Below are 24,803 nucleotides of genomic sequence, written 5' to 3' on the forward strand. Positions count from 1 at the left end.
GGAATAAGTGTGATGTGGTGCTGAGAAGAATGTATATTCTGTTGATTTGGGGTGGAGAGTTTGGTAGATGTCTATTAGGTCTGCTTGGTGCAGAGCTGAGTTCAAGTCCTGAATATCCTTGTTAACCTTCTGTCTTGTTAATCTGTCTAATATTGACAGTGGGGTGTTAAAGCCTCCCATTATTATTGTGTGGGAGTCTAAGTCTCTTGTAGGTCTCTAAGGACTTGCTTTATGAATCTGGGTGCTCCTGTATTGGGTGCATATATATTTAGGATAGTTAGCTCTTCTTGTTGAATTGATCCCTTTACTATTATTTAATGGCCTTCTTTGTCTCTTTTGATCTTTGTTGGTTTAAAGTCTGTTTTATCAGAGACTAGGATTGCAACCCCTGATTTTTTTTGCTTTCCATTTGCTTGGTAGATCTTCCTCCATCCCTTTATTCTGAGCCTGTTTGTCTCTGAATGTGAGATGGGTCTCCTGAATACAACACACTGATGGGTCTTGACTCTATCCAATTTACTAGTCTGTGTCTTTTAATTGGGGCATTTAGCCCATTTACATTTAAGGTTAGTGTTGTTATGTGTGAATTTGACCCTGTCATTATGATGTTAGTTGGTTATTTTGTCTGTTAGTTGATGGAATTTCTTCCTAGCATCAGTGATCTTTACAATTTGGCATGTTTTTGCAGTGGCTGGTACCGGTTGTTCCTTTCCATGTTTAGTGCTTCCTTCAGGAGGTCTTGTAAGTCAGGTTTGGTGGTGACAAAATCTCTCAGCATTTGCTTGTCTGTTAAGGATTTTATTTCTCCTTCACCTATGAAGCTTAGTTTGGCTGGTTATGAAATTCTGGGTTGAAAATTCCTTTCTTTAAGAATGTTGAATAGTAGCCCCCACAATCTTCTGGCTTGTAGAGTTTCTGCCAAGAAATCCGCTATTAGTGTGATGGGCTTCCCATTGTGGGTAACCCAACCTTTCTCTCTGGCTACCCTTAACATTTTTTCCTTCATTTCAACCTTGGTGAATCTGACAATTATGTGTCTTGGGGTTGCTCTTCTTGAGGAGTATCTTTGTGGTGTTCTCTGTATTTCCTGAATTTGAATGTTGACCTGCCTTGCTAGGTTGGGGAATTTATCCTGGATAATATCCTGCAGAGTGTTTTCCAGCTTGGTTCCATTCTCCCCTTCACTTTTAGGTACACCAGTCAAACGTAGATTTGGTCTTTTCACATAGTCCCATATTTCTTGGTGGCTTTTTTCGTTTCTTTGTGTTCTTTTTTTCTCTAAACGTCTCTTCTTGCTTCATTTCATTCATTTGATCTTCAGTCACTGATAACCTTTCTTCCACTTGATGGAATCGGCTACTGAAGCTAGTGCATGCATCACGTAGTTCTCGTGCCATGGTTTTCAGCTCCATCAAGTCATTTAAGGTCTTCTCTACACTGTTTGTTCTAGTTAGCCATTCGTCTAATCTTTTTGCAAGGTTTTTAGCTTCCTTGCAATGGGTTTGAACATCCTCCTTTAGCTCAGAGAATTTTGTTATTACCGACCTTCTGAAGCCTACTTCTGTCAACTTGTCAAAGTCATTCTCCATCCAGCTTTGCTCCATTGCTGGCGAGGAGCTGCGATCCTTTGGAGGAGGAGAGGCACTCTGGTTTTTAGAATTTTCTGCTTTTCTCCTCTGGTTTCTTCCCATCTTTTTGGTTTTAACTACCTTTGGTCTTTGATGACGGTGACCTACAGATGGGGTTTTGGTGTGGATGTCCTTTTTGTTGATGTTGATGCTATTCCTTTCTGTTTGTTAGTTTTCCTTCTAACAGTCTGGTCCTTCAGCTGCAGGTCTGTTGAAGTTTGCTGGATTTCCACTCCAGACCCTGTTTGCCTGGCTGTCGCCAGCAGAGGCTGCAGAACAGCAAATATTGCAGAACAGCAAATACTGCTGCCTGATCCTTCCTCTGGAAGCTTCGTCTGAGAGGGGCACCTGGCTGTATGAGGTTTCAGTCAGCCTCTACTGGGAAGTGTCTCCCAGTTAGGCTACACAGGGGTCAGGGACCCACTTGAGGAGGCAGTCTGTCCGTTCTCAGAGCTCAAATGCCGTGCTGGGAGAACCACTGCTCTCTTCAGAGCTGTCAGACAGGGACGTTTCAGAGTGTAGAAGTTTCTGCTGCCTTTTGTTCAGCTATGCCCTGCCCCAGAGGTGGAGTCTATAGAGGCAGACAGGCCTCACTGAGCTGCAGTGGGCTCCACCCAGTTTGAACTTCCTGGCCACTTTGTTTACCTACTCAAGCCTCAGCAATGGCGGATGCGCCTCCCCCAGACAGGCTGCCGCCTTGCAGTTCTATCTCAGACTGCTGCGCTAGCAGTCAGCAAGGCTCTGTGGACTTGGGACCCGCTGAGCCAGGCATGGGACATAATCTCCTGGTGTGCTGTTTGCTAAGACCGTTGGAAAAGCGCAGTATTTGGGTAGCAGTGTCCCGATTTTCCCAGTACAGTCTGTCACAGCTTTCCTTGGCTAGGACAGGGAAATCCCCCGACCCTTTGCGCTTCCTGGGTGAGGCGATGCCCCACTCTGCTTCAGCTCACCCTCTGTGGGCTGCATCCACTGTCCAACCAGTCCCAATGAGATGAACTGGGTACCTCTGTTGGAAATGCAGAAATCACCTGTCTTCTGCGTCGATCACACTGGGAGTTGCAGACCAGAGCTGTTCCTAGTTGGCCATCTCGGAATGGACCGGTGAATTCTTATCTATTCTGCTATTCTGTATCTTTTATATGGAGCATTTACGCCATTTATATTCAATGTTAGTATTAAGATGTGAGGTACTATTCTATTCATTGTGCTATTTGTTGCCTGAATACCTTAGTTTTATTTCATTGTGTTGTTGTCTCATAGGTCCTGTGAGATTTATGCTTTAAGGAGATTTTAATTTGATATGTTTCAGGGATTTGTTTAAAGATTTAGAGCTCCTTTTGGCAGTTCTTGTAGTTCTGGCTTGTTAGTGGCGAATTCTCTCAGCGTTTGTTTGTCTGAAAAAACTTTATCTTTCCTTCATTTATGAAGCTTAGTATTGCTTGAAACAAATTTCTTGGCTGATAATTGTTTTGTTTGAGCCTGCTAAAGCTAGGACCCCAATCCCTTCTAGCTTGCAGGGTTTCTGCTAAGAAATCTACTGTTAATCTGATAGGTTTTCCTTTATAGGTTATGTCATGCTTTTACCTCATAGCTCTTAAGAGTTTCTTTTGTCTTGACTTTAGATAGCGTGATGACTGTGTTCCTAGGTGATTATATTTTTGTGATTAATTTCCCAGGTGTTCTTTGAGCTTCTGGTATTTCGATGTCTAGATCTCTAGCAAGGCTGGGGAAGTTTTCTTTGATTGTTCCCTCAAATATGTTTTCCAAAATTTTAGATGGCTCTTCTTCCTCAGGAACACCAATTATTCTTAGGTTTGGTCGTTTGACATAATCCCCAACTTCTTGGAGGCTTTGTTCATTTTTAAAAATTCCTTTTTCTTTGTCTTTGTCTGATTGGGTTAATTTGAAAGCCTTGTCTTTGAGCTCTGAAGTTCTTTCTTCTACTTGTTTGATTCTATTGTTGAAACTTTTCAGTGTATTTTGCAATTCTCTAATTGTGTCTTTCATTTCCAGAAGCTGTGATTGTTTTTTATTTATGCTACCTATTTTATTGGAGATTTTTTCATTAATAATCTGTATCAGTTTTTTTTCATTTCTTTAAGTTGGATTTCACCTTCCTCTAGTGCCTCCTTGATTGGCTTAATAGTTGACTTCCTGAATTCTTTTTCTGGCAATTCAGAGATTTCATCTTGGTTTGGATCCATTGCTGGCGAGCTAGTGTGATCTTTTGGGGCTGTTACAGAGCCTTATTTTGTCATATTACCAGAATTGTTTTTCTGGTACCTTCTCATTTGGGTAGACTATATCAGAGGGACAATCGGGGACTCACGGGCTGCTGTTCAGATTCCTTTGTCTCACACAGTGCTCCCTTGATGTGGTGCTCTCCCCTTTCCCCTAGGGATGGGGCTTCCTGAGAGCCAAACTGCAGTGATTGTTATTTCTTTTTTTAGTCTAGCCACCCACTGGAGCTCCAGGCTGGTACTGGGGAATGTCTGCAAAGAGTCCTGTGATGTGATTCATCTTCAGGTCTCTCAGCGGTGGATACCAGCACCTGCTCCAGCAGAGGCAGTAGGGGAGCAAAGTGAACTTTGAGGGTCCTTGGTTGCATTATTGTTAAGTGCGCTGGTTCTGTGTTTGTTGGCCTCCAGCCAGGATGTGGTGCTTTCAAGAGTGCATCAGCTGTGGTAGTGTAGGGAGGATCAGGCCGTGGGCGGGGCCATAGAGCTTCCAAGAGATTATGCTCTTTGTCTTTGGTGTTCCTCAGCCGTCCCATGGAGCCTGCAGTGGCAATTCACCTCCGTCAGAGGGTCTGTGGATTATCTTGGCTTTCCTGGTATCTTCCTGCAGTAGTTCTTGGAGCAGAAGTTCACAATGTGGGTCTCCACACACTGCTTTGTCCTGCTGAGTAGGAGCTGCAAGTTAGTCCTGCCTCCTATCCACCATTTTCTTGTAAAGTCCCTAAGACAATATTTGTTGTGCTTATTCACTCCTGTGTTTCTTCTAGCTAAGTCTTGATTTCTAAAATGATTTTCTCCCTTATTTCTAATTCTTGAGTTCCATTACCTCAGTTTTGAATTTTTGTAATTTTAAGTTACACTGTTTTTTCATATTTTGTACATTTTCTTAATGCCTTTTAGCTTGTTTGGAAATAGTACTTTACACCTGTTATCTGTCTTTTGAATGTATCTTTCTGGTGTGTTTTATTGTATACAGATGTCATCCAGGTTCTTATTCTTTTTCCTGCAGTAATTTTATATAGAATTTGATCTCAATACCTTTATGTTGCTCATTTAATATGATTTCTGTTTTAAATTTTCAGAATGATCTAGGTTTAGATAGCTTTCTGTCTTCACAAATTTTCTTTTTCTTTTTGTTTTTGTGTAGTGTTAAATATATGGCATACTGCTTTCTATGATTTGCTGGCTTTATTCACTTTGCCTAATTTTATTTGGCTTTTCTCTTTTCTTTGTTTCTTGTATACCAATCCTTCTCAGTTTTCATTTTTCTCCCAGAAGTTTCTTCTTGGTGTGTGACCCTGTCCTACAAGGGAGTTTCAAGAGTTCAGAGGGACTAGACTGCTCCAAACTCTTTAGCCTTACCGTGGCTCTTTGCCCTTAAAAACTATTGGAGGGTGCAAAACCCTTCCTAGATGCAGCTGCTGTTTTCAGATTGGTCTGCCAAAGTTTAAGATGACTATTTTGTGCTATCCTGTTCTTAGGTCAGTCAGGTATATGCTTGCTTCCCTCTGTTTTCTCTCATACAGATTTCAATAACATTTAGATCTTGTGGTTATTGGTACTTTGTCTCTGTTTGTATTTTAGGGTTCATGGTGGTACCCTGTTTTCAATTTTTGTTGTAAATATTTTGAATTTTCTCTCTAGTTACTTTGACTGTTTTTACATGAGGTTTCCAGAAGATCCAAAAGCTGTACTGCTGTCATTATGTTCCCAGAATATAGATTAACAAAATAATATTGGTCAATGACCAAAAAATGGTCATTTTTATGTCAATGCATATAGATCTAACTCATTCTTTTTAATAGCTGAGTAACATTTAGGTTTAAAACACAATTTATTCAGTCATTTTCTTTGATTTTAACCTTTGTTAAATATATTGCAAATCTTTTCTCCCAGTCTATCTTTAAAATTTTAAATGAAATTTTAATTTTTATGTAGTCAAATCTTTTGATAATTACGGCTTCTGAATTCCAAAATATTCTTCTTAAATCATCCACCAATCCCAAAGTTACACAAATATTCTTTTAAGTATTCTACTGATAAACTTAATTTTTGAATAGTTTTTAAATTATTGTGTGATTTATTTTTTGTGTGATATCAAATAGGGTATAAGTCTTTTTTTCTGAATGGGTAGCCAATTATGCTTAATGGATAGCTGAAAAATAATGTTATTTATTTCAGGATAGTTATTAAATATAGTTCATTTTATCAAACATACTGTAAAACCATCTTTATTGTATGTAAAATTTCTATGTACTTGAATTGGTTTCTAGACTCTATATTTTCCTATTTGCATATTCCTCTACCAACACATTGTATTAAAGTTTATAGTAACTTGATGGTAATGCATTGTGTGTAGTAGGACAAGCATCTCTTTACTACTTTAGTTTCAATTTTTCGTGATAGTTGATTTTTAAAAAGTGTCTGTGCATAAACATAGTATAATTTTTACATTACAAAAACACTTTATTGTAATTTATTTGGAAGTGCATTAAGTTTATATATTAATTTGGAGAGATTGGCATTTATATGCTATTGTCTTTGTATCATGGAATATGCTACTGCTCCAAAGTTATTGAGGTCTCAATTTGATGATTGTGTGTGTATATAAAAAAGCATAGACTATACATTTTTTCTGTTAGTTCAGGGAATATTTTTAAAAGTTGTTCATGTTCTTGGTCACAATTAAAATTTTACCTTTCAAGAAGTACAGGTTCTGCAGAATATATTCTCCAAATATAGTCAAATAAAAATGGCAAACAACAATAAAAATAATCCAGGATAATTTTTAATACACCACTATTGATTATAAATTGTTTTAACAACCATAACTACTGTTTGACAGATTAAAACTGAGCACTGAACATACGTATACTCAATAACCCAACAATATCACAACTAGGTATAAACACCGTTTGTAGATGTGTAACAAATGCAATGTAAGGGTGTTTATAACAGTACTATTGATAATAACCCCAAACTGAAAACAATCAAATATAATTCACTAGTAAACAGAATAAATAAATTTTAGTATATTCAAACAAGAGAATATTATAGAGCAATAAGAATGAACAAACTATTATTACATGGAAAAACTAAATGACATCCATAGAGACAATATTAAATAAAAGAAACCAGGTAAGAAAGAGTATATGCTGCATAATATTGTTTATATAAAGTTTAAACATAGGCAAAACTAACCTATGGAAGTGGGATAATGGTACCTTTGAGGGAAATAGTGACTGGGAGGAAGTATGAAGACAACCGCTGTACTGATGATATTCTTTTTCTTGATAACTTTGTAAAAATTTATTAAGCTGTACACTTATGAATTATGCCCCTTTTGTATGTATGTCACGTTCTATTATGGCTTGAATGTCTCCCACAACATTCATGTGTTGGTAACTTAATTCCCAGTGCGACAGTGTTGAGAGGTGAGAGCTTTAACAGGTGATTCGGCCAGGTGCAGTGGCTCACGCCTGTAATCCCACACTTTGGGAGGCCCTGAGGTGGGCAGATTACCTGAGGTAGGGAGTTTGAGACCATCCTGACCAACATAGAGAAACCCCATCTCTACTAAAAATACAAAATTAGCCAGGCATGGTGGTGCATGCCTGTAGTCCCAGCTACTTGGGAGGCCGAGGCAGGAGAATCGCTTGAACCCAGGAGGTGGAGGTTGCAGTGAGCTGAGATTGCACATTGCATTCCAGCCAGGGCAACAAGAGTGAAATTCTGCCTGGAAAAAAAAAAAAAAAAAAATGGTGATTCAATCCTGAGGGCTCTTCCCTCATGAATGGTCTAATGTCATTATCATGGGAGTTGGATAATTATCATGAGAATGGGGATGGTGGGATTATTATAAAAAACAAGTTTGGCGCCCTCTTGCTTTCTTGCCCTTCCTCCTTCTGTCATGGGATGATGCAGCAAGAAGGCTCTCACCAGACTTGAGGCCCCCAACCGTGGACTTCCTAGCCTTCAGAAGTATCAGAAGTAAATTTCTTTTTAAAAATGAAGTACTCAGTCTGTGGAATTCTGTTATAGCAACATTAAATGGACTAAGACAGATAATTGGTACTGAGAAGCAAGGCTGTGGCTGTAACAAATAACTGAAAATGTAGAAGCAGATTTGGAGTTGGGTAATAGGTAGAGGCTAGAAGAATTTTGAGGAGCAGGCTAGAAAAAGCCTAGATTGCCATAAATGGAGTGTTAAGAGTGATTCTGATGAGGGCTCAGAAGAAGGGGAGAGCTGTAGGGAAAGTGTGAAACTTTGTAAAGATTGCATAAGTGGTTATAATCAGAATGTTGTTAAAAATATGAACAATAAAGACCATTCTAATGAAATCTCAGATGGCAAAGAGGGATATCTTATTGGAAACTGGAGTAAAAGTGATCCTTGTTATGAAGTGGCAAAGAATGTTGGTGAATTGTGTCCATGTCTTAGGGCTTTATGGAAAGAGGAATTCAGGAGCAATGAACTAGAATGTCTGGCTGAAGAAATTTCTAAGCAAAATATTGAAGGAGTTACATGGCTTCTTTTAGCTGCATACAGTATGATGCAAGAGGAAAGAAAAGACTTAAAGATGGAATTTACAATTAAAAGAGACAAAGAATGGAAAGATTTTGAAAATTTTCAGGCTGGCCATGTGAAGAACAAAAAAACGTGTTCAGGAAAGCAAACCACAGGTGTATCCAAGCAATCCTATGCTAAAATTAGTGCAGACAGAAGGGACCATCAAGACTTTGGGTGAATGACCCTGAAGGCACTTTGAAGATATCTAAGGCCTGACCCCAATCACATGCCTGAGCTCTAGGAGGGCAGAATGGTTTTGAGGGATGGGCCTGAAATGCCCTCCATGGGCTTGCTGCCCACAAACCTTGGGTTTCTGCTCTCTGTATTCTGGCACAGTGCTCCTTGGCTACCCCAGCAATGGCTCAAGGAGGCATGTGTGCATGTTGACCCACTGATCTGGAAGGTACAGGCCATAAATTTTGGCAGCAACCATGTGGTCCTAATTCTGCAGGTGCATGGTATACAAGAGTTGTGGGGCTTCCTCCATCTAGATTTCACATGGTGTTGCAGACAGCCTAGGGGCCCAGGAAGAGGCTTGTTTTAGAGATGAAGCCACCACAGAGAACCCTTTCTAGGGCAATGCTGAGTGGAAATGTGGAGTTGAAGCCACCACAGGGAGGCTCCACTAAGACAATGCCTAGTGGAACATTGGGAGTGAAATTATTCCCAAGACCCCAGAAGTGTAGTTACCAGCTTGTAGCATCCGCCTGGGAGAGTGGCAGGCACAAGACTCCAATCCATGAGAGCTGCTGAGTGGACTGAGTCCAGCAAAACCATGCCCCCACAGCAGTGTGCCCAGATTGTGGAACATAAAATCAAAGATTATTCTGAAACTTTAAGATTTAATGTTGTTTTCCCTTTGGGATTTTAGACTTATTTGGGACCAGTTACCCCTTTCTTCTTTTGAAATGGAAATGTCTGTCCTATGCCTGTCCTGCCATTGTATTTTGGAAGCACATAACTTGTTAATTTCACAGGATCACAACAGGAGAAGAATTTGCCTCAGGATGAATTGTGCCTTGAGTCTCACCCGTATCTGATTTAGATGAGACTCTGGACTTTGAACTTCTGAGTTGATGCTGGAACAAGTTGACTTTGGGGACAGTTGGGCTGGAATACGTGTATTTTGCATTGTGATAAGTATATGAATTTTGGGAGCCCAGGGGTGGGATGCTATGGTTTGCATGTACCCCCAAAGTTCATGTGTTGGGAACTTAATCCACAATGCAACAGTGTAGAGAGTGGTACCTTTAAGAAGTAATCAAAATGGATTAACGTCATTATTATGGGTGTGGGTTATTTATCACAAGAGTGAACTTGTTATAAAAGTGAGTTCAACCACCTCTTGCTCTCTGTCTCTCTGTCTCTGTCTCCGTCTCTCTCTCTCTCTCTTTCTCTTGCCCTTCCACCTTCCACCATGGGATGATGCAGCAAGAAGTTCCTCACCAAATGTGGGTTCCTCCACCTTGGACATTCCAGCCTCCAGAACTTGAAGAAATAAATTTCTTTTCTTAATAAATTACACAGTCTGTGGCATTCTGTTATAGTAACACACAACAGAGTAAGACACACTCTAATAACAAATTCACTTAATGTGTCCAGGATATATTGTTAAATGTACTTATTTCCTAAACAAACAAAAAGATACTCCCAAATCCATACAACCAAAGAAACACATATATCAATTCCAGCACACAAATAAACATTTCTCCCCAGATGCAACAGAAGGTTTTTGTTGTTATTCATCACTCTTTTTTACCTCATTTTTTTATAATCAAAAGAAGTTTTGACAAATGGCTCTGGAAGAATTACAATGTTGAGAAAAGATGAATATTAATGCAGAGGAAGGCACTGTCTGGTCCTGCCCATTTCTTTTAAAGTTATCGGGTTGATCCAGTGCCATGTAAACAGTGTCTATCAAGCAGAACTTCCAATCGCGTCACATTAAAGTTTTAAATCTGAATGCTTGGTCGAATCTATCTTTTTTTACCTTGTTTCCCGATTTCCCACAAATCAAAGTAGCCTCTGACCCCATGATTCTTCTACATTCAGGACTCTTCATGCCTCTTGTACATCTTACTTCTTTTCTTGACCATTATTCATATTCTCCTACTTATTCTGCTTAGGGTCACCCAGAGTAAACAGACGCCTGCCTCTCAGACTCCCACATCTTGGTGCACCTCCCCTCATCTGCCTCTAGATTGCTCCTGATTCTGAAAGAAGTTTCTGAACCAAGGATGCAGCATTTTGTTTTGCTTTTAATCTTTAAATTTCATTGTAACATTTAGACCTACAGAAAACCTACAAAAATAGTAGAAAAAATTCTTGTATAATTCTCTTCTAGATTTTCTAAATTAATATTACCACATTTGCTTTATCATTCCTCTCACTCTCTTTCTCTCTCTCTTTCTGTATTCTTGTTATTTGTCTTAGTTTTGTTCTTTAAAGCCACTGCAAACACTGAATTAGCAAATACCGAGTCATTGTTCCTAAGGGAAATACAGGGTTAGGTTCCCATGAGTCTCTGGTCACAACATTTTCCACAACTGGATTCCACAAATACAAAACTTTGTTTTATGTGTATTTCTGTTTAAAGACAACTTATTTAAAATATATTGTTGATTAACAGTGAACTCATGACCGACAGCACCATAACTCATGCCTGAACAGAGACTTTCTAACACATATATTCTCTCCAGAAGGCACAGCCTTCCTCCTGTTGGGAACACTAGACAGCACTTCAGCACTATGTCTGAGGGACATTTTAAACAGCAAAATCACCAATACAAAGCATAAGCATGTGAAAAATGTTACTCTAAATAGATTGTGAAAAGGACATTTGTTTACAGTGTGAGAGGTGAAACAAGAAGGCAGGGGATAGCTTGTTTGACCTCAGCTGGATTTGTGCTTATTTGGCAACTCATGTTTTCACCACTCTGTGCATGTCCACAAATGACTCCAAAAGTGTCACATGTATTGATTTTGTGATTACAAATCAATTTTAGTGAGGTATTGAATTTGGAAATATGGAACCCGTGAATAATGATTGACTACATGTATGTATATATGTATATAGGTATATGTGTTTAAATATACACTCATACACATGCATACACATATAGCTATATGCACACAAACATATTTCTGAATCATTTGAGAGTAAGTTGCAAACATGATACTCCTTTAGTTCTAAATAATTTAATATGTGTTTACCAAAAATAGGGATATTGTTTTCCATAACCGCATTACAATGATCACAATCAAGAAATTAACCTTAATAAAATGCTATTATCACAGTTAAAGATTTTATTTACCAAATATTTTTGGTAATGATTTTAGTTTACCAAATATTTCACTAAGGGCTGTTATATTTCAGAATGTAATCAAGAATCATGTTTCATTTTGTTGTCATATCCCTTCAGTCTCCTTTAATCTGTAAGAATTCCTTAGCCTTTATTTATTTTTCATTAGTATTGCTTTTTTGGTTGTGTCCGAGATGAAGATGTATTATAAGGAGAAAATTATAAAAATCATATATTTTTTATATTTATATAAATATAATTTATATCCCAGCACTTTGGGAGGCTGAGGCGGGTGGATCACAAGGTCAGGAGATCGAGACCATCCTGGCTAACATGGTGAAACCCCGTCTTTACTAAAAATAAAAAAAATTAGCCAGGTGTGGTGGCACACGCCTGTAGTCCCAGCTACTCAACATGATTATATGTCATTAGATCTTTAGACTTGTTCATTCTACACATCTGCTAGTTTGAATCCTCTAACCTATATCTCCCCATTTCCACCCCACATCTTCCCTGCCCCTAGTAACCATTGTTTTGTTCTTTGTTTCTGTATATTTAAATTTTTTTTTAAGATTCCACATATGAGATCGTGCAATATTTTTCTTTCTGCGTCTGGCTTATTTCATTTAGTAACTTCCCCCAGGCTCATCCATGTTGTGGCAAATGGCACGACCACATTGTTTTTTAGGAATGAATAATATTCCTTATTCATGTGTCGCTTGATGAACACATAGGTTGTTTCCACATCTTGGCTAGAATAATGTTGCAATGAATATGGGAGTGGTAGTTTCAATTTTAATTTCTTTAGAAACCTCCATAATCTTTCCCATAATGGCTGTATCAATCTACATTTCTGCCAACAGCACACAAGAGTTTCCCTTTCTTCATACCCTCAACCAGCATTTATCTTTTTTAATTTTCATTTTTTACAGGAGCCATCCTAATGATGTGATGTAGTTCTCATCATGGTTTTGATTTGCACTTCCCTGATGGCTAATGATGTAGAACACTTTTTCATATACCTGTTGGCCGTTTTTATGTTTTCTCTGGAGAAAGATCTGTTTGGGTCCTTTGCCCATTTTTTAATAGGATTATTTGTTTTTCTAGTATTAAGCTGTCTCAGTTCTTTATAAATTTCGAATACTAACGCCTTATTTGATAATATGGTTTGCAAGTTTTTTTTTGATCTGTAGGATGTTGTTTCATTTTGTTGATTGTATGCAGAAGCTTTTTAGTTTGATGTAATCCGATTTATTTATTTTTGTTTTGGGGGCCTGAGCTTTTGATGTGATACTCAAAAAAATTATTGCCAAAGCCATTGTTCAGGAATTTTTCCCCTATATTTTTTTCTAAGAGTTTTATCGTTTCTGGTCTTACGTTTAGGTATTTTACCGATTTTGAGCTGAATTTTGTGTATGGCATAAAATGTAAGTCAAATTTCATTCTTTTGCACGTAGAAATCCAGTTTCCCCAGCATCATTTGTTAAAGTGACTTTCCTTTCCCCAGTGTGTCCTCTTGGTGCCCGTGTTAAAAATTAGTTGATTGTATGTGGTTGGATTTATTTCTATGCTCTCTATTCTCTCGTGCCTTTGTGTCTGTTTTTACACCAGTACCATACTGTTTTGATTACTATCACCTTGTAAAAGAGTTTTAAATCAGAAAGTATAATACTGCCAACTTTTGTTTCACAGAATTGTTTTGGCTATCCAGGGTCTTTTGTGGTTCCATATAAATTTTAGGATTATTTTTTCTATTTCTGTAAAGAATATCCTTGGGTTTTGATAGGGATTGCATTAAATTTGTAAATTGCTTTGAGTAGTATGGACGTTTTAACAATATTAATTCTTCTAACCCATTGTCATGGAATATCTTTCCATTAATTTGTGTCCTCTGTAATTTATTTTGTCAATGTTTTATTGTTTTCAGTGTGCAGGTCTTTTACCTCCTTGGTTTAATTTATTACAAAGTATTCTAATTTTTTGATGCTATCACAGTCTAGTTTTCTTGATTTTTTTTTTTTTTCAGTTAGGCTGTTATTTAGGCATGAAAAAATGCTACTGGACTGGGTGCGGTGGCTCAAGGCCTGTAATCCCATTACTCTGGGAGGCCCAGGTGGGCAGATCACTTAAGGCCAGGAGTTTGAGACCAGCCTGGCTAACATGACAAAACCCTGTATCTACTAAAAATACAAAAAATTATCTGGGCATGGTAGCAGGTGCCTGTGATCCCAGCTATTCAGGAAGCTGAGGCAGGAGAATCGTTTGAACCTGGGAAGTAGACGTTGCAGTGACCGGAGATCATGCCACTGCACTCCAGCCTGGGTGACAGAGTCAGGCTCCATCTCAAAAAAAAAATAAAAAAAAAAAGCTACTGGTTTTCTAATGCTGATTTTGCTTCCTGCAACTTTACTGAAATGATTTATTAGTTTTAATAGCTTTTTTTGTGGAATCTTTTTTTTTTTAACATAGAGAATCATGTTATCTGCAAGTAGATATAATTTTACTTCTTTAAATATACATCCTAGTATTATTAAGATGGCATCCAGTGAAACATCAAGTAATCTTGTAAACTACATAACTGCTATGCTGTCTTTACTTTTTTCACTCCCTAGCTTCAAATACAAAAACATAGAAACAATACAAGAAAAACAGAATATGCTTTATCAAAACAAAAACATAAAAACAATACAAGAAAATCAGAATATGCTTTAGCAAAACAAATCCAAAGAGAACGATGAAAACTTTTCATCAGAAGGAGGGCTAGAGGTAATTTCATTATCATTTTACCATTAGCATTTCCCATGGGTTTGCATTTACTTTTATTGTTAATCTTGACTTTTAAGATTTGTGAAAAGCACTATTTACAAAGCTGTTAGCGGGATCTCCCTTAAGGTAGGAGATAAATGGACTTGATTAGTCTGTGTTCTCAGGCATGTTGGAAAGGGAGATATCCTGGGAGTTAAGTTTGAATTTAGGGACTGTAATTCCAACACAGAAAAGTCTATCTTCTTAACTAGAATACTTGTTCTTGTCCCGGCGGTGTAGTGAATATGCTGCATGGTCAAATTGGTTTGTATAAGTGGAAACTGATAATATGTGAGAACGCCATGCTGCAGAAGTGAAGTTTGGTGGCATTTGAGCTTCTAAATAAGAGCTAAGCAAGTTTCCCTGATTCTTCTGCCTTCATTTGGAAACATATCATCAGAAACATCAAACTGGAGGAAATGTAAGAAATCATCTTGCCTTTCTAAATTTTGAGGTGTTTTTTTTTTCTATTAAAATAGATGTATATTTTTAAAAAGCTAACATTCACAGAGTCTTAATGATGTGCTAGATGTATTTCATTACTTAATTTTCACAACAATTGTCTCAGGTATGTGTTACTATTTACAACTTACAGATGGTAAAAGTGAAGTGCAATAATTTGCCCTAGATCACACAGCTAATAAGTGATCAATTGAAGTCTGAAGTCAGAACTAACGAAAAAGTTTCTGATGATCTCATTACATCACTCTTATTTCCTGGGTCGAATATTTCCATCTTCTCTGATGGATTTGTTACTATGCTAATAGTTATTAATACGTATTAGTGGTCTTAAGAAAAATTATCAATTAGGTAAAATCTGCTCTTGGTACCTTCCTAGCCATCATCTTAAACAAGACATTTACGTATCTAGCTCGTATGTCTTGGTCCAGTGTCTTTAAAGATTTATTTCCATTATCTATCACTCGAATTTTCTCTGATCTGAGGGTGTCACCTAGGTGGACCAATTAGTATTTGTAAATGTGAAAATGGGAAATAACTAGATGAGTACCTTTGGGAGACCATATGCACATTTTTTTCTAATACAGTGTTAGTATTGGTGTCTGATTCTTTGAGGTGAGATTTTTCAGCCAATCCATAGAAAGTAGTTTGGTGTCAGGTCTACTAATGAGGTAGAGAGGAGCACATCTGTAAAAAATAGATTATTAATGCTCAAAATTTCTCTGTTACCTGTTTTACAACCCTTGACAGGTTAACAAAATCCACGCAGGAAATTAAAATGGTATATTAGGAGATTTAAAGGAGGTCTGACTTCTGTAGGACCAAGCAGGTTTTTATTATTAAATAATGCATAGAGAAGTTTAAGAATGTTTGTGAAAAGGTTTTCATTATTTTTCACCATGAAAAAAAATGTAAAATATAGTAGCAGAAATATCAAAGTTTGAATGAAACAGTTATGATAATTTCAATTGTAAGTTGAAATCATCCAGCAATCTCTAAACCTACAGCATTTCATGTATTTCATTGTGCAGGAGAGCTTCAAATGGCTGGAGAGTTTTACAATACCCTTAGCCAATACCCTTACCTTATGAGATGGAAACATAGAGAAGTTTTTGTTGCATTCAAAATGTCTGAAGATTATTGCATGTCAAAGGAAAATTCACTTCTGAGCTCTATGTGTTTAATGTTGCTGAATGAGAAAAAAATGAAAGATTTGACCAGTTTATTACAAAGCTTGAGATACAATTAGTCTACTGGTGAATAAAAACATGAAAACTTAGGAAATGAAGTGGAAAATCATCATTATCAAATACATGTTACTTTTTGCAATTTCAAAGCAAAAAAACCATACACATATACATATAAATATACATGTGCACAGAGTTTACTATCATCTAGTGCCAAATTAAGTTACATAAGAGAGGGGAGGAGAGTCAAATAGCTGTAAGGCAGGACAGTGAAGGTAAATTGCTTTTTTGCTAAGAAAAAGTACTATTTCTGATTCTCCATACTCAGGGAACTGATAAGAAAATTTTGTTAAATAAATAAATGCTTATTAAATTCCAGAATCTGCATTGATCTGCTTCAGTAAAATGATTATATTTCACACAGTTACTGTGATTGGAGCTACCTCCTTGTTATGTTTATAGTACCCTCATCTGCCGTTGTTCATGGGATATTTGTGAAGGCCTAGATGAATTGATAGAGAAATGATGCATCACCACTACATCCTTAAATTCTTTGATGGTAGTAGACATCCCTGCAATTCTTTGTGAGATATGGTATTTCTTCTGATTTACTTACTTTGGATTATTTACCTTGGCCAGGAGACACAAATTTCAGGGACTTTCTACTGTATCTCCCATTCCAGCCAATGTGACCTGCTATATATATATATATATCTGCATCAATTACACATTTATAACCTGAGGAAAGAACCAGAGTGAGTTCAAGGACCTATGGATGTACTATCAGATTATCCTGGGCTATAACTGCATTGATTACTTGGCTTCTATAAGCCCTCTTTAAAATTAGAGGACTAAGATTGTATTTTGCATTGCCTTGGAAAATCTAGGTATTACTTGTTTCTAAGTGGCCTTTACCCTGGCAAAATAGCTTAGGGTTTCTTTGGAGCAAGCAAGAAAGATAATTATCATATATTCCTCGGGTTTCATTGCAGGGTCATTCTTCAAAGAGATCTTATCACCCATTCAAACAATATTGACAAATGTAGATCTAGAAGCTGGATGAATATGGTGATTTTCCATTATGGTACCTGACATCAGCTTTCTGCTCACTGGGTCTTAATTTCTTTTTTTATTGCACCAATCAAACAATTTAGAACTTAGCTGTTCTTATATCTCAACTGTATGGACATCACGATTTATTCACCATCACTGGAAATCCCTGTGTGTCAAGCACGCTAAGTACCTCTCTGGTCTTGATGCCATGATATTAATTACATCTACCTTGCCTCTGATGGTTAGGTGTTTCCAACAACCTTCTGCCAATCCGGAGGTCATTTCTATGGCAAAGGACAGTAACCAGTGAGCTTCTCAAAAATTCCAGTTCCCCATAACAACAAAACATTGATCCCTGGGCTTGATTCAGAGATAGACAAATAGATGAGAGAGGCCAGAAATAGACTCATATTGGAGAATTTGGTGTAAAACAGTAGTGACCTTACTGGCCAGTGGGGAATCAGTGAGGCAAAGATGTAATAAACAGGGCTTATAAAATAAATAACCAAAAAAAATTTGGCTTGCATTAAGGAAAAAATAATTATATTTCTGGTTATATCCATATCTCACACCATACAAAAATAAATTCCAGATGGAAATATCTTAAATATGGAGAACAATACTAAAAATGTTTTACAAGAACACATAGGATAATTTCAGGGCAGAAAAAGACTTTTTAAATAAGAATACAAGAACTAAAGGCACCACCTCTAACAGAAATGTTGATAAATTTGACAATTCTAACATTAAAACTATAATCTGAAGGGAAGTCACAGATTTGGAAGAAAATATTTACAATCTTTCAGCACAAGATTCATTCCCAGACTATTCGAAGGCCACCTACCAGTAAGTAAAGATAAAATCTAGTGTGAAATCGGCCAGGTGTGGTGGCTCATGCCTGTAATCCCAGCACTTTGGGAGGCCAAGGTGGGCAGATCACGCGGTCAAGAGATCAAGACCATCTTGGCTAACATGATGAAACCCCGTTTCAACTAAAAGTAAAAAAAATAGCTGGGCCTGGTGGCAGGCACCTGTAGTCTCAGCTACGTGGGAGGCTGAGGCAGGAGAATCACTTGAACCCGGGAGGTGGAGGTTGCAGTGAGCTGAGATTGCGCCTCTGCACTCCAGCCTGGGGACAGAGAAAGGCTCTCTCTCAAAAAAAAAAAAAAAAATCTAGCGTCAAACAAGTAATATGAACAGTAAATTCACAGAAGAAGTTATCCAAATGGCAAATAATAAATAATAAAAATTAAAGTCACAATAATTTAATATTTTACACATATCAGACTTCTATAACTTTAAATATCTTATACCTTCAAGCGTTGCAGAGGGTGAGGAGTAACAACAGTTTTATGCACTGCTATTGGTAAAATTCCTAGTAATATCTAAGAAAGCTGAATGTGTTCACATCCTATGCTACAGCAATTCCATTTCTAGGATGATTATAATGGGATTCACAAAGAAAATGTCTTCCTCCCTAGCTTGTCATATTTAAAAGTCCTACAAACAGATACATGCCTTTAGATTAAGTTAGTGTTTATAAAAGGTTGTGATTGAAATGCAAACAACTTTCATTGAAAGAATAAATTATTAACCAACAACATGGATTATTTTATGAATGTAGCTTTTATCTCCTAGAAAACAGTACTAAGGGAGTGACACGTGGGGGAAGGCCCAAAATAAACATCTTAAAAGTTAAAATTAATATTGCCTGATGGCAATAGAAACATTGACATCTTTCTTTGTTGTCCAATTTTTATTCAGCTATATCTTCTTAGTTAGGCCTTTACTGAGGTCTGTAGGCTCCCAGGTTCCGTGAAGTCTTCAGTTCTGTAGAAGCACCAGCAGAGACTACTAGTGAGGGGGTTTCCCCCATGAGTTCAAGAAACACTTGGAGATCTGCATGGGAGCATGGATGTAAGGATTATAAGGTGAACAATTCTAGAAAGTATCTTGATCTGTAAGCATTATGGATGAGGGTTGTAGGTAACATTGGCTGTCATGAATATTACTGGTCTTCCGGACTTCCAAAGGAAAAGAAGTAATTGAGTCATTCCAGCCCTAAGCTTGGGAGACTATGAGGAAAAGGGAGGCTTCCTCAAAGTCAATAATCCATCAGAGGACCAGAAGGGACACTGTTGAGCTCTTAGCCATTTTAGGGAATGCTGCCTCTTAAAGAAATCCAACAACCATGAGTCCCAGTGAGCAATCAAAAACAAAAACAAAAACAGAAAGCATCCAAAATCATCATCATCATCATCATCATCATCATCTTAGTGGGTCCAAAAGGCTGAGAAAAGTTATGTGATAAACAGACCACATGCGCAGTGAATTGCAACTAGTGAAATAGGCAGATGATAACATAAACAGAAAAACAATAATTGCACTTGAAGAAATTAAAATGGAATTAGAACTACCGAAATAGACAGATGACAACATAAACAGAAAAACAGTAATCATACCTGAAGAAATTAAAATAGAGCCACATAGCAAAATGTGACCTAAATGCAGTACATAAGCCAAAAACATAAATTCATAACTAGATAAATCAATGGATAGACTTTATGCTACCAGCAATAATGTAGTAATTGGGCCTAACTTACCCTCCCACAGTAAAAAAAAAAAAAAAAAAAAAAAAACAAACGGAAAATTGAACAACTATATGGAAAAACAGTTTTATGACAGTGGGCAACAGGCGGTGAAGGTTATAGTGGTCCCAGGAGAAGGCACACAAAAGAGGTGAGCCCTACACCTACAATCTATTAATGCAATTGATTTGTTGCCTGCAGGCATTTTCCAGATCATAATGCATGTATGGTCTTCCAAGCAGAATATAGTAATTTCAATGAATTGAGGAGACAAAAATAAGAATTTGGGGAGTTTAAGGCAGCTAAACATTTGGGCCTGAGTTCCAGAGGAGAAAGAACTATGCAGAAAAGAGATCCAGACATTTTCAGAGGAGTTCCTTTGAATCTGTTGCATTTTTGAGGTGAAACTCCATGACAATTCTTGAAAGCTTACGTAGATTGTAAAGATATTTGAGTTCTGACTAGTCAGACCAGAGTGTCCTTGTTAAAAACCCAGACAATTTAGTGGAAATACTAGGAGAATCTTGCCTTAGTATTAGTACAAATCTAGCTCCAGCATAAAGACTATTCTAAATCCATCATAAGAAAGTTTAAAAACAATCCTCTGAATGATCAAGTATGCATTTAATTTAAGTGAATTTCACAGCAAAGTTCACCACTGTTTAAAGGAAGAAAACATAATCCAGTATTTAACTGTATAAATTTCACAATATTCAGAATCCAATAAAATTACTAGATATGACAAGGCAGGAAAATATATTCATTATAAGGAGAAAAATCAGTCAATAGAAACAGACTTATAAATGCTAGACATAATGGGAATATCAGTCAAAGAAACAGCTATAGCATGTAAAGGGAGCTATTAATATAATGAGGAGAGAAATAGAATATATAAAAATGACAAATAGTATTTCTAGAAGTGAAAAATTGACTGCAAGGAATTAATAGATTAAATTCTGTAGAAAAAAATCTCAGTGATCTGGAAGATATGGCAATAGAAACATTTTAAACTATAGCAGAGAGAGAAAAGAGGTTGGAAAAAATGAACAGAACAGAAAATAAAAGAAATCAATAACTAGGTCTTTGAGAAGATAAGCAAAATTGATAAACACTAGCTAGACAGATGGTGTAGGAAAGAGAAAAGACACAAATAACCAATATCGGAAATGAAAGATAGGAAATTACCACAGACTCTACAGGCATTAAAAGGATAATAAGAGATATTGTAATAAACTCTAGGCCACCATTAGTCAACAAAATGGAAACCTGGATATTTTAATATCCTTATTTTATTCAGGAAATTGCATTAATTCGATAATTGAATTAACCCCCACCCCCAATCCAAGTAGATGTAGTTTCACTGGCTAATTTGATCAAACACTTCAGGAAGAAATAATACCAATGCTATATAAACTCTTTCATAAAATAGAAAAGGAAATACTTCCCAACTTATTTTAAGAGGCCAGCATTATCCTGATACCAAAAGTAGATCAGAAATTATAACAAAAGAAAACTACAGACCAGTATTTCTTATGAACATAGATGCAAAAGCCTTTAAAATACATTTGTAAATAAATGCAGCAAGCAAGAAAAAGGACACTATATTACTATTAAATGTGTTTATTCTCAGGAATGCAGATTGCTTTAATGGTCAAAGATGAATCCATGTATTTGCCAATATTAAAAGACTAAAAAGGAAAACCCACACAATCATATCAATAGATGAAAAAAATTAACAAAGTTTAGTACTCACTTATAATAATACATTCAGCAAACAGAAGGTAGCTTCCTCATCTAAATAAAGAGCATCTGCAAATGAATAAATAATATGTGGAAAAAGATGGCCACTGTTCATATGCCAATTAATGCTTGGAAGGTTAATTCGATAAAAGATTTAAAAGCACAGAGCAAAAACATGAAGATTTGGAAATCATGAGGGAAAGGACAGAAGACAATAGCTTCAGAACATCTAACATTAAAAAAATTGGCGTTTTGGAAGGTATGCGACAGAGCAAAACAAGCAACTATTTAACAAGATTTTTTTCCTAAGTGAAGAAAGATTGAATGCAGTATTCATGCAGTATTCATGCAGTATTGAAGACACTTATAAAAATAGTGAATTCTAAGTATAAAGATATGCTATAAATTTTCAAACAAAATAAGAATATTATTCAAAAAGAATGTTTTCTGCCCAAGAAAATGAATTGGAATATCATCAGCCACTTACCTGCAACACTAGAATGCAGAAGACTGGAATAATATCTATGAATTACAGAAAGAAAAAGAGTTATAATTCAGGAGTCTTCTATTCAAACTAGATGTCATGCACCTGTTAAGGAGAAAGAAAAGTATTTGAAGATGTCCAAGAAATTATAAAACTTTTAACATATTATTATAATGTGGATATTTCCCCCTAAACCTCATGTTGAAATTTGATCCCCAATGGTGTAGATAAGGCTTGATGGAAGGTGTTTGAGTCATGGGGGTGAATCCCTCATGAATGGCCTGGTGCCATCCTTGTGGTAATGAGTGAGTTCTTGCTCTAGTAGTTCCCATGATAGCTGGTTGTTAAAAAGAACCTAGCACCTCCCTCTCCTCTCTCTTTTGCTTCCTCTCTCACCATGTGATCTCTGCACATACCAGCTCCCCTTCACCTTCTGCCATGAGTGGAAGTAGCTTGTGGCCCCCATCAGAAGCAGATGCTGATACCATACTTCTTGTACAGCCTGCAGAATCATGAGCCAGATAAACCTCTTTTCTTTATAAAGCACCCAGCATCATTAACCAATTTGACCTAATTGATATAAGGAATAATATACACTTTCCACATGGCCATGGGACATTGAACAAAAAGAGTATATTCTGAGTCATGAAGAAGTCTTAAGAAATGTCAAATGATTGAAAGCATACAATATATGTTCTCCTACTAGATTGGAAGTAAGCCAGAAATAAATAGCAGAAACATAGAAAAAAAAATCAAAATATCTGGAATTCTCAAATTTCAAATTTTTAATCAGTACTTTTCAAGATAACTCATTGCATCAAATAGGAAAGACCATTTGAAATTATGAAGTATTTTGAACAGACCGGTCATGAAAATAGGACACATCAAAACTTGTAAGACATAGGTAAAACAGTACTTAGAGTATACCATTAGCTTCAAATGTATATATTAGAAAAAAAAGGTTGAGAATCTACCATCAAAGCTTATATCTCATGAGAATAGAAAAGAACTACAAATTAAATAGAAAAGAACTACAAATTAAATACAAAGAAGGCCAAAAGAAGTATATGTAAATATAAAAGCAAAAATAAAGTAGAAAACAAACCTGCAGGTAAGAATATTTACAAAGCCAAAAATTGTTAATTTTCTGTGTCAACTTCACTGGGCCATGAGGTACCCAGATATTTGGTTAACCATTTTTCTGAGTGTGTCTGTTAGGGTGTTTCTTTATGAGGTTAACATTTGAATTGGTAGACTGATTAAAGCAGATTGCCCTCCCTAATGTAGGTTGGCCTTATCCAATTTATTGACAGCCCAAATAGAATAAAAATGCTGTGTAAGGGAGCTTCATTCTCTCTCTGACTGCCTTTGAGCTGAGACGCCAGTCTTTTGCCTTCAGACTTGGACTTGGAGTCAGACTGGAATTTATATCATTAGATCTTCTGCTTCTCAAGCCTTCAGACTTAGATGGGAACTATACCAGCAGCTCTTCTGGGTCTTTAGCTTGCTGACTGAAGATCTTGGGATTACTCAGCCTATATAATTTTATAAGCAATTTCTTATAATAAATATCTTTTTATGTAGATCCTCTATTGGTTCTGTTTCTTTTGAAAACCCTGACTAATATGATTACATCCTTGAACATTTCAATAAAATTTTATTAATAACTAGAAAGACTTATCAAAAATAAAAGAAAGAAGCCAATAGTTACTATTAGGGAAGAAAAGGTTTTATCACCATACTCCCTAAAGAAATTAGAAGTATAATGAATCATATTTTGTACAACTCTATGACAATAAACTTAACACCTAAGATGAACTTTTTAAAATCTTGAAAAATACACTTACCAAAACTGACACAAGAAATAATTGAAAAATCTAAATAATTTATATATATTAAAGAAATTAAATCCTCAAGTAAAAACTTTCCCATAAAGACTTCAGGAAGAGATGGCCTCACTGATGAATTCTCCAAAACTTTTAAAGAAGAAAATATATCAGTCTTAAAACAACTTTTTCAGAGACCAGATAAAGAGGTAATACTTCTTGTTTTATGAGACCAACATAATCCTAACATCAAAGCCTGAAAAGAATATCAAAAGAAGGGAAAGTTATAGGCTTATGTATTTTATGAAAACAGATGCAAATTCTTAAACATAAGATTAACAAATTGAATCTATTAATATGTGGAAACTATAATACCTCATGACTAAGTGAGGTCCATCCAAAAAATACAAGGTTGTCTTAACATTCAAAAATCAATGAATTAAAAATATTAACCTAATTTATCACATTAACAGAATAAGGGAAAGAAAAATCCACATGATCATCTCAATAGATGCTGAAAAACCATTTGATAAAATTTAACCCATATTTATGATAACAACTGAGAGTACAAAAAGCATCTTTAACCTGAGAAAGAACACATATATGTATTTTTAAAAAAACAGCTAATGTAGTCAGGAGAACAATGCATGGGCAAAGTTAGAATTTCACCAAAGAGATATGAAATATAAAGAAGTGCTAAACAGAAATTTTGGAGCTGAAGGATGTAATAGCTGAATAACAAAATTTAGTGGAGCAGTTCAACAGCCAACTAGATTAAGCAGAAGAAAGAATTAACGAACTTGAAGACAGGACATTGAAAATTATCCACTCAGAGGAGAATTTAAAAAGAGTGAAGAAAATTTAAGGCACTTATAGAAAAACATTAAGCAGTTAAGCAGACCAATCAAGTCCAGAGAGAGAGAG

At 36.4% G+C, this 24,803-nt stretch overlaps 2 long non-coding RNA genes across 3 annotated transcripts in view; one reads left to right on the plus strand and one right to left on the minus strand.

Moving 5' to 3' along the window:
* Positions 1-24,803, plus strand: part of LOC107986195 (uncharacterized) — a 496,338-nt gene that overhangs the window by 60,190 nt on the left and 411,345 nt on the right. The window lies entirely within an intron of this gene.
* Positions 19,065-24,803, minus strand: part of LOC105377483 (uncharacterized) — a 64,875-nt gene continuing 59,136 nt past the window's right edge. Inside the window, exons 2-4 of one of the 2 annotated variants that reach the window (XR_007058326.1) lie at positions 22,057-22,091; positions 21,583-21,638; positions 19,065-19,140 (exon numbers count right to left, since the gene is read on the minus strand). This is a non-coding gene — a long non-coding RNA (uncharacterized LOC105377483). Of the gene's footprint in view, positions 19,141-21,582; positions 21,639-22,056; positions 22,159-24,803 lie in introns of both variants that reach the window. The other variant, XR_939336.4, reaches the window with a different exon arrangement.

This window comes from Homo sapiens, chromosome 4 (assembly GCF_000001405.40).
Source record: "Homo sapiens chromosome 4, GRCh38.p14 Primary Assembly".
Classification (NCBI taxonomy): Eukaryota; Metazoa; Chordata; class Mammalia; order Primates; family Hominidae; genus Homo; species Homo sapiens.